This window comes from Homo sapiens, chromosome 4 (assembly GCF_000001405.40).
Source record: "Homo sapiens chromosome 4, GRCh38.p14 Primary Assembly".
NCBI lineage: Eukaryota > Metazoa > Chordata > Mammalia > Primates > Hominidae > Homo > Homo sapiens.
In genome coordinates this window covers 92,279,343-92,290,587 of record NC_000004.12, presented here as the reverse complement: position 1 = coordinate 92,290,587, position 11,245 = coordinate 92,279,343, and positions in this window count along the sequence as shown.

Below are 11,245 nucleotides of genomic sequence, written 5' to 3'. Positions count from 1 at the left end.
TAAAGATGACAGCAGAAATAAAATAGAGACTAAAAAATACAACAGAACAATGAAACAAAGTTTTTTTTAAAAAATGATAAAATTGACAAAGTGTTAGTAGTTAGCTAGACTGACAAAAAAAAGAGAAGGTTCAAATAAATAAAATAACGAACTAAAAAAAAATACATGACAATTGATACACAGAAATACAAAGGATCATGGAAAACCCAGAGGAAATGGATACGTTCCTAGACACATATTACCTACCAAGATTGAACCAAGAAGAAATATAAAACATGAACAGGCCAATGACAAGTAATGAGATTCAATCAGTAATAAAAATTATCATAACAAAGGAAAACCTAAAACCCAAAGATTTCACTGCTGAATTTTATCAAACTTTTAATGAACTAACACCAGTTCTCTATTTATTGCAAAAAAAAAAAAAAAAAAAAAAAAAAAATTGAAGAGGAGAGAATTCTTCCAAACTTCTTTTACAAGGCCAGAATTACCATGACACTGAAACCAGATGAGGACACAACAAAAAAGAAGGGTATAGGCCAAAGTCCCTAATGAACACAGACACAAAAATCTAAAAAAACCAAACCAAAACAAAACAAAAACCAGGCAAACTGAATGCAGCAACATATTAAAAAGCTCATTCACTAAGAGCAAGTTGGATTTATCACATTATTTTAATACACAAAAAATGGACACACATACCATGTTTATGAATGGGAAAAATTAATATTGTTAAACTTACCATACTACCCAATGCAATCTTATTAAATTATCAATGCCATACTTTACAAAAATAGAAAATAAAAATCCTAAAATGTGTATGGAATAACAAAAAACTCCAAGTAGCCAATGCAATCCTGGGCAAAAAAAGACCAAAGCTGGGGGCATCAAACTACTTAACTTCAAATAGGCTACAAAGCTATAGTATCCATTAAAGCATGGTACTGGGATAAAAACCAACCAAGGCATCAGAATAGAGAATCCAGTAGTAAATTTACATATTTCCAGCCAACTGATTTTCAACAAAGGTGACAAAAAAGTACACTGGGTGATATGGTTGGGATATGTCCCCACCCAAATCTCATCTTGAATTGTATCTCCCATAATTCCCATCTGGTGGGAGATAATTCAATCATGAGGGTGGTTTCCTCTATACTTTTCTTGTGATAGTGAATAACACACAAGATCTGATGATTTTATAAGGGAAATGCCCTTTCACTTGGTTCTCTTTCTCTCTTCCCTCTGCTATGTAAAATGTAATTTGCTCTTCCTTGTCATCTGTCATAATTTTGAGGCCTCCCCAGCCATGTGGAACTGTGAGTCAATTAAACCTCTTTCCTTTATAAAGTACCTAGACTTGGGTACGGCTTCCTCAACAGTGTAAAAACAGACTTGTACAGTAAATTGGTACTGGTAGAGTGGGGGGGCTGCTGCAAAGATACCCAAAAATATGGAAGCAACTTTGGAATTGGGTAACAGGCAGAGGCTGGAACAGTTTTGAGGGCTCATGAGAAGATAGAAAAATGTGGGAATGTTTGAAACTTCCTAGAGACTTGTAGTGCTCAAAAGACAGGAAGATGTGGGAAAGTTAGGAACTTCCTAGAGACTTGTTGAATGGCTTTGACCAAAATGCTGATAGTGATATGGACAATAAAGTCCAGGCTGACACGGTGTCAGTTGGAGATGTAGAACTTGTTGAGAACTAGTAGCAGTTTGCCCCTTCGTTAGAGATCTGCAGAACTTTTAACTTCAGAGAGATGATTAAAGGTGGTGTCTGGTGGAAGAAATTTCTAAGTAGTGAAGCATTCAAGAGGAAGCAGAGCATAAAAGTTTGGAAAATCTGCAGACTGATGATGCAATAGAAAGAAAAGAAAAAACCATTTTCAGGGGAGAAATTCAAGCCTGTTGCAGAAATTTGCATAAGTAACAAGGAGCCAAATGTTGATCTCCAAGACCATGGGAAAATATCTCCAGGGCATGTCAGAGACATTTGTGGCAGGCCCTCCCATCACAGGCCTGGAGGCCTAAGAGGAAAAATGGTTTTGTAGGCCAGACTTAAGGCCCTCCTACTTTGTGCAACCTTGGGACTTGGTGCCCTGCTTCCCAGCCACTCTAGCCATGGCTAAAAGGGGCCAAGGTACAACTTGGGCCATAGCTTCAGAAGATGCAAACCCCAAGCCTTGGCAGCTTCCATGTGGTGTTGAGCCTGTGAATTCACAGAAGTCAAGAATTGAGGTTTGGGAACTTCTGCCTGGATTTCAGAGGATGTATGGAAATGTCTAGATGCCCAGGCAGACATTTTCTGCAGTCAGGGCCCCCTGAAGCAAACTAGAACCCCTGCCAGGGCAGTGTAGAAGAGAAATGTGGGGTGGAAACCCCACACAGAGTCCCCACTGGGGCACTGCCTAGTGGAGCTGTGTGAAAAGGGCCACTGTCTTCCAGACCCGAGAATGGTAGATCCACTGACAGCTTGGACCGTGCACCTGGAAAAGCTGCAGACGCTCAATGCTAGCCCATGAAAGCAGCCAGGAGTAGAGGCTAAACCCTAAGGCCACATGGGTGGAGCTGCACAAGACCATGGGAACCCACCTCCTGCATCAGTGTGACCTGGATGTGAGACATGTAGTCAAAGGAGGTTATTTTGAAACTTTAAGATTTGACTGCCCCACTGGATTTTGGACTTTCATGGGGCCTTTAGCCCCTTTGTTTTGGCCCATTTCTTCCATTTGGAATGGGTCTATTTATCCAATGCCTGTACTTCCATTGCATCTAGGAAGTAACTAACTTGCTTTTGACTTTACAGGCTCATAGGCAGAAGGGACTTGCCTTGTCTCAAATAAGACTTTGGACTGTGAACTTTTGAGTTAATACTGAAATGAGTTGACTTTGGGGGACTGTTGGGAAGGCATGATTGGTTTTGAAATGTGAGGACATGAGATTTGGGAAGGGCCAGGCGTGAAATGATATGGTTTGGCTGTGTCCCTAACCAAATCTCATCTTGAATTGTACTCCCATAATTCCCATATGTTGTGGGAGGGATCTGGTGGAAGATAACTGAATCATGTGGGCAGTTTCCCTGATACTGTTCTCATCATAGTGAATAATTCTCACAAGATCTGATGGTTTTATAAGGGGAACCCCATTTCTCTTGGCCCTCTTTCTTTCTTCCCTGCCACCATGTAAGATGTGACTTGCTCTTACTTGCCTTCTGCCATGAATGTGAGGCCTCATCAGCCATGTGGAACTGTGAGTAAACTGAACCTCTTTCCTTTATAAATTACCCAATCTCGAGTATGTCTTTATCAGCACTGTGAAAATGGACTAATACCCTGGGCAAAGGATAATAAATAAATGTTGCTGCAAAAACTAAACATCCATATGCAGAAGAATGAAAATAGACTCTCATATGCCACAATACAAAAAAAAAAATCAATTCAAAATGTATTCAAGACTTAAATATCAGACTCAAAACTATGAAACTACCAGAAGAAAACATAGTGGAAATGGTTTAGGCCATATGCCTGCACAAAGATTTTAAAAATAAGACCTCAAAATCACAGGAAACAATAGGAAAAACAGGCAAATGGAATTGAATCAAACTAAGGAGCTTCTACATAGTAAAGGAAATAATCAATGAAATGAAGAGACAACCTGTGAATGGGATAAAATATTTGCAAAATATTCATCTGACAAGGAAATAATATCCAGAATATCCAAAATCTTAAACAACTCAACAGCAAAAGACTAAATATAATAATACAGTTCAAATTGGGCAATTGATTTGAATAGACAATTCTCCAAAGAAGCCATACAAATGGCCATACAAAAAGAAATATATGAAAAAAATGGTCAGCATCACTAATCATCAGAGAAAGGCAAATCTGGATAAGATATTATCTCACCTTAGAAGGGCTATTATAAAAAAGACAAAAAATAACAAATGCTGGTGGTGATGCAGCATAAAAGGGAAATACTTATACATGGTTAGTGGGAATATAAGTTAGTTCGTTATGGAAAACAGTATGGAGGTTCCTCTAAATGTTAAAACTAGAGCTACCATATGATCAAGCAATCACCCTACTGGGTATATATCCAAAGGAAATAATATGTCAAATAGAAACCTGAACTCCTATGTCTATTACAGATTCTTCACAATAGCCAAGATACGTAATCAATCTAAATGTCCATCAACAGATGCATAGATAAGTAAATGTTACCCATGAACACAATGTCATACTATTCAGCCATAAAAAAGAATGAAATTCTGTCATTAATGGTAACACAAATTAGCCTGGAGGACATTATATTAAGTGAAATCAGCCAGGCACAGAAAGATGAAAATGACATGTTTTCACTCATATGTAGAAGCTAAAAATGTTGATCTCATAGAAGTAAAGATTAGAATAGTTGCTACTCTAGAGGCTGACAAGGAAGGGTAGGGGAGGTAGAGATAGGGAGAGGTTGGTTAATGTATACAAAATTAAAGCTAGATAGAAGGAACAAATTGTAGTGTTCTATAGCATTGTAAGGTGATATAGTAAATAATAATTTCTTGTATAATCTCAAAAAGTAGAAGACAGGATTTTGAATGTTTTCAATACAAAGAAATGATCAATGTTTGAGGTGATCCATGTGCTAATTACCCTATTTGGATCATTTCATACTGTATACATGTATTGAAATATCACTCTGTACCCCATACCTATGTCTAATTATCATGTCTATTAAAAATAATTTTTAAAAACTCAAAAAAGATATAATCATTGTATTCAATTAAGCTAAGAAGATTGGGGAAATAATTTATATTAATCAGCATGCTGAATAAAAGTATAAACCTTATTGACTTAAAGATATTACCTTCATCTTAAATCCATCTAGCTCAAATGTAACTAATTAATAAGGCAATAATACAAATTTAAATACTGCACTCTTATGCAGAAGTTATAGCCTCTTATTCTACTGTCCTTGCTTTGATGATAGCATTTCCAAGAAAAAAAAAATATGGTACATTAGAAAAATAATGCATTTTCCACTTTTGGGCAGCCTAGAAATTTTAATTGGATGTATCAGTGACAGATATTGTGGGCTTCAACAAACCACTCAATACTTGTTTTCCTATCTTTATTTATAAAATGTGGATTTGAATAGATAATTTCCAACTGCATTATTGGGACCTCTGAAAAATCAAGTTTGTTTTGCATGGTACACCAATGAGGTGATTAAAAACAGCACTTGAAGCATACGCACAAAACCACAAATAACTGGTATGCTTAGACCAAATCAGTGAAGATTATTGTTTTCTTTCTTCAATTCACTGTACATACGCAGTAGAGCCAACCTAAAAATCTACTTGAAAGATTTAAGGGAAACTTAAAAATAAAACTTTTTTAAAAAATGAAAAAAAATTAAGAGAGAGTTTTCCACCTTTTATAGTTGCATAAATTGTCACAGATACTATCCAATTTTAAGATGTGAACAATTTGCAATGGAAGTAAACCCAAGATAAAGGGAAATCACATGAAATAGCACAATACTGTATGAATCTATCCCTTACTTATTACATGTAGGAGGCTTGAGAAGAAAAAGTGCAGCTTAAAGACTTACTGAATACTGTGTACTAAAGAGGCAGGTATGAAAATATTAACAAGTCTACCACTTAGGGGCACAAATAGTTATGGTGGTATTATTATGTAGCCTGAAAAATGCATATCGACTCTGTCCAATCCATCTCCTCTTTTGTTGTTTTTTACATCATGACCTCTATATTAACTGGGGAAGTAAAGACTCATTTAAGTAAAATAATATGTTCAAATAATGGATTTAATTTTGTCTTATCAAAAATCCAATTCAAAGTGAATAGAAAATGCAGCTAGGGGCCAGACGCAGTGGCTCATGCCTGTAATCCCAACACTTTAGGAGACCGAGGCAGGTGGATTATTTGAGTTCAGGAGTTCGAGACCAGCCTGGCCAATATGGTGAAACCTCAAATCTACTAAAAATACAAAAATTAGCCAGGTGTGGTGGCACATGCCTGTAATCCCAGCTACTCGGGAGGCTGAGGCAGGGGAATTGCTTGAACCTGGGAGGCAGAGGTTACAGTGAGCCGAGATGGGCCACTGCACTCTAGTCTGGGCAACAGAGCAAGACTCCATCTCAAAAAAAAAAAAGAAAGATAAAAGAAAAAGAAAATGCAGCTAGGGTATAGTATGTTTCATCTCATGATGGCAGAATTAAATTGGAAGATCACAGAATTTATTATTCCAGATATTTTTGTAATGGAAGATCACAGAATTTATTATTTCAGATATTTTTGTAATGCATTTATCCTCCTGCACTATTTTCATGGAGAAGTAGGGGGTGGTAGGCATGGGGGTAAAACTTTACCTGCAGAATTTAGCTCCAGTTTTTGTAGGTGATTTCTCACTAAGAGATTACTTGTTGAATGGTGATTTTACCACAACATGAACACTACTGTTGGAAACAACGAGGAAAGATTGCAGGAACAAGTTGATGAGAGAATAAAAATTAATTTACAAATAGAAGTCAGTACTGACCAGGAGCAGGAATATCTCTCGTTTACACCAAAATAGTGTCTATGCCTGTATGATGAGATAGTAAAGGCACATCTCAAATGTGTACCTGATGCTGATGGAGAATTCTCTTCCTTCCTTTTACATAGCTGTCTTTATAATACATTCTGCCATGAAGGAGCTGTGTGACATTGGACAAAGCATATATCTGGTCTCCTGTTTTCCCTGTACCCCTGCTATCTCATGTGAAAGTTGAAGATAATAATAGGTTCATGTAATATTTTATACAATTAAGTATATGAACATATAAAGCACTTAAGACAGTGCACACATTAAGCATGACATGTTAGGTATCATTATGTTTTCTCTGTATTATTATATACATTTACTGTATTATGTATTATTTATAATAGAGTTATAGTATGATTTTTATAATTAAATACAAAAACATGTATAAAACATTTAGTGTACCCTTTAAGCATGCTATGTATTAGCTAAAATATGCATGTGTTATCTATCACTATTGTAATTTTGGTCAATTTGGTTGAGAGGAACTGCTTCTTGACTTCCCAGATCAACTTGATTTAGTCCCTACACTTCCCAGAAATACATGAAGATGAACATCTCTGTGATAGTAGGGTCACTGGGAGTGCTTCTCAGCTGAATGGAGCTGCTTCTTGGCTTCCCAGGTCAAACTGATCTAGCCCATTAGCTTCTCCAAAATGGGTGAAGACAGTTATCTCCCAGAGTGGTTAGAATGGGCTCTGAGGCTGAGCAGGTAGGCTAGCAATCTAGGAATTCAAGCTAGGTTGAACTGCCCACCATGCTTCTGAAGGTAATCACCTCAGCTTTGCGGGTGAGCTATGAGGTTGGCTGGTATCGGTTATCAAGCACCACAGCTGGCAGGAAAATAGAGGCACCAACAAGATCCACATGTTGGTCAATATGATCTCTGTTTCCTTTCTTTGTTTCTATCTGATCCTGAGAAGTCTAGCTGTGCTGTTTTCCCTGGTGTTGCACTCTTGGTGAGACCACAGTGGGCTTCCTGGGAAGTGTCTCATAATGCTAGAAAAGCTGCACGAATACTTTTGGTGTTCTCTTCCCCATGTAGAAATGGTGGGCCCAGGGAAATTCTCTTCATCTGGCATTATACCAAATTAGGGAAAGGGGTTGTGTAGTATGGTCAGAGTGAGACCGTTATTCTTATCCTTCTAATTCAAACTTAATTTGGTTCTATGGACTACATAGGTGTCTCAGACTTGTTCCCAAGTGTTGAGCTTTTCAAAAGTATATTCTATTCTGAGGATAATTGCTGGTTGAACTTTCTTTCAGGGAGAGATAGGTAGTAGAATTTGAGACTTCCTATTCTGTATCTTGATGTCTATTTTTGAACTTTATATAAATGAAAACAGTTTTCTTTTGTGACTGGCTTCATTTGGTTTACATTTTGTTTATAAGTTTCATCTATGTTGTTGCATGTAGCATTCGCCCGTTCATTTTCAATGCTATAAATACTATCCTACTATGCAAACACACCATAATTAGCTTAATTCATTGTTATTATTATTGTTCTACTGGATAATATGGCCAAGATAATGTACATTAAACATGCTAATAGTGGGCATACTTTATCTAATTTTTCAATAATTTACCAATTCGCCATAAAGATGTCATTTGTTTTGAGATTATATAGATATTCCTTATCAGATTGATACATCTATTCTTACTTTTCTAGAAGTCTAGAAAATAGATATTATCTGTGATCAAATACTTTACTACATTTTAGGAGGATTATAGGTAAGCAAAATATGCTACAGTAAAGTTTAAACTTTTATAATGATTTTAGAAAAATTATTGCTTACATGGATTTTGAAAGTCAGAAAAACAGGAAAATTATTCTGATTAGTAATCTCTATTTATAAATGGAGGAATAGTTCCAAATAAGCTGGTAAAATGGTTCTATGAAATTCAGTATGTGTGACTTTGAGAGAAAAACATAAAATCATGGCTCCCATCCATAAACAAAAAAGAATTTGTCTGTAAGGTACATAAAATATTAATTTTTCCTGATCTGAGACCAAGTACACCACAAAAGGAAAGTATATGCTACCTATAAAATATCTGGTTTCATGTCATAACTTAAAGACAGTTTTACTATGCTCACCTAAATTCAGAATTCAGTATGATATTACATTTCTGCTTTGGGATTATAAAAGTAGGAAGGAATCTTTGATGAGAAAAAAAGTGAAAGCAGGCTAGAGTAGAGATTTCTTTGCAGAAAGTGAATGATCTCTTTGATAGGCAGGTGAAATTTATGTGTCTTCTTTTGGTTCAGGATTGTTCTTTACATTTTGTTTTCTTGGAAATATCATTGCACTATTCCAGTAATCTTTGTTCCCCCCTCCACTGAATACCCTAGATTTTGTTTTGTTTTTGAGATGGAGTCTCACTCTGTCGCCAGGCTAGAGTGCAGTGGCACGATCTCGGCTCACTGCAACCTCCGCCTCCTAGGTTCAAGCGATCCTCCTGCCTCAGCCTCCTGAGTAGCTGAGACTACAAGCGTGGGCGCCACCATGCCCAGCTAATTTTTTGTATTTTTAGTAGAGACGGGGTTTGACCATGTTGGCCAGGATTGGTCTTAATCTCTTGAACTCGTGTTCCGCCCACCTCGGCCTCCCAAAATGCTGGGATTACAGGCATGAGCCACCGCGCCTGGCCTGAATACTCTAGTTTTTTTAAAGCACCCAGTGGTGAGTAATTTCTTTATTCTATTCATGTCACTATGTGCCAAGCAGGGTGCCCAGCATTGAGGATATAGCCATAAAGACCCCTGCCTTCAAGGAGCTTTTATTCTAATGCATATGTATCCTAATACTCAGAATTCAAGTTTAACTGCAGAAAAATAATTTTAAAGATTGTTATGCTTTGAAGTCTGGAGAAAAACAAAACACCATGTGAAACCTTACAGGTTTTGGGAAAAAAATATTTATTAACTAATGTTTTTTTCTTTTGAAAATACGAGTGAGTGCAATCTGATATTATGGCCAAAGATTAAATGTTAAGTAATTTTTAAAGTACATTTTTAAATGTTGATAGCAATGCATGTGGTGAGAGCTTACCAGGATGGAAGGAACAGGCCTAGATAACAATCTAATGCTTTCTGGCTTTGTAAAGTCAAATCAAAAAAACTGGTGGTGAAAACCATAACATTCCTAAAACAATATGCATATGATTGGCAGACATCAAAGAAAACTCTCCCAAATCGATGCTTTGGCTTTCTGTGCTATTCATTATTGAGGAAATAAAACCCCATTATGCAAGAGATATATTGTTACTTTATGACATATATTGTTCTTTTCTTTTGCAGGATAGACATATGGCCATGTCTATATTTGGTTTCATATTTTAATAAAGCATTTGAGAAAATACATCTACCACTTCTTCATTTTCATGCTGTGTATTTCTTCTGGCAATCTCCCATCCTAAGACTAGTAAATAGCTTACCTATGAAGATGAAAAAAAAATAACTTTTAAAATATAGAAATAACTCTGGTAGGGCCTGGCATGGCAGCTCACACCTGTAATCCCAGCACTTTGGGAGGCCAAGGCAGGTGGATCACGAGGTCATGAGTTCAAGACCAGCCTGGCCAACATGGTGAGACCCCCGTCTCTAGTAAAAATACAAAAATTAGCTGGATGTGGTGGCCTGTGCCTGTAATCTCAGCTACTTGGGAGGCTGAGGGAAGAGAATTGCTTGAACCTGGGAGGCTGAAGTTGCAGTGAGCCAAGATTGCGCCACTGTACTCCAGCCTGAATGACAGAGCAAGACTCTGTTAAAAAAAAAAAAAAGAAAGAGAAAGAAAGAAAGAAAAGAAAAGAAAGAAATAACTCTGCTAAACTCAAGATACATTTGGCAATTCATTTTGCAGAAGTAAAGACCGACTCATCTATGAAAACATATTGTCAAATGCTTTTATTCATTTACCCACATTATGTAAGTTCTTTTTTTAGTAACTTTCATATTTCCATCAAGAAGTCTTAGTTTTAAATTCCCCAAGCTTTTCCTTTTTCTTAAAAAAAGGCTTGGGAAAGAAATATATTTTTGTGGTGTGACCTAAAGTTCTGTTTTAATACAGAGTGCTCAAATACCTGATCTATGAGATCTATCAGATTCACACCAGTCTTTCATTTTTGTCTACTACTTTTCTTTATACCATCTAATAGGGAATCAAAAATATCTTCCTAAGCCTCAGTAGAATATTGTCTTAAGCTGCACTTTTCTCTAACTCAGAATGTCTAGAAATATTTCAGTTTAAAAGAACCACTCAATCATGGGAGAAATGCTGTTGTAATCTAACTATTTTAATGTTTTACTGCCTTGAATCTTACTTTGCCTAGATTTTCCTGCAGTGAGTGAGTCTCATCTGTGTAAGATTTCTTAGATGGCTTGAATTTATACTCTAGCACTGAGAACTCTACCTACTTTAACAAGGGACTCAACTAGCCCTGCAGAAGTAGTTTAGAGATTTGTACCTTCTTTGAATATTCATTTCACATAGTTGCTGATTCTTAAGAATGTGGCATGCATACAATTTCTTGAAAGCTGTGCATGCAAAAGAATCTATTTCAGAACTGCATCATTACCATAGAAATGTAAACGCATCATTGTCTTTAGAAAGGAAAAATAAAGAATGTAAATTAGCATTTTCCTTAGT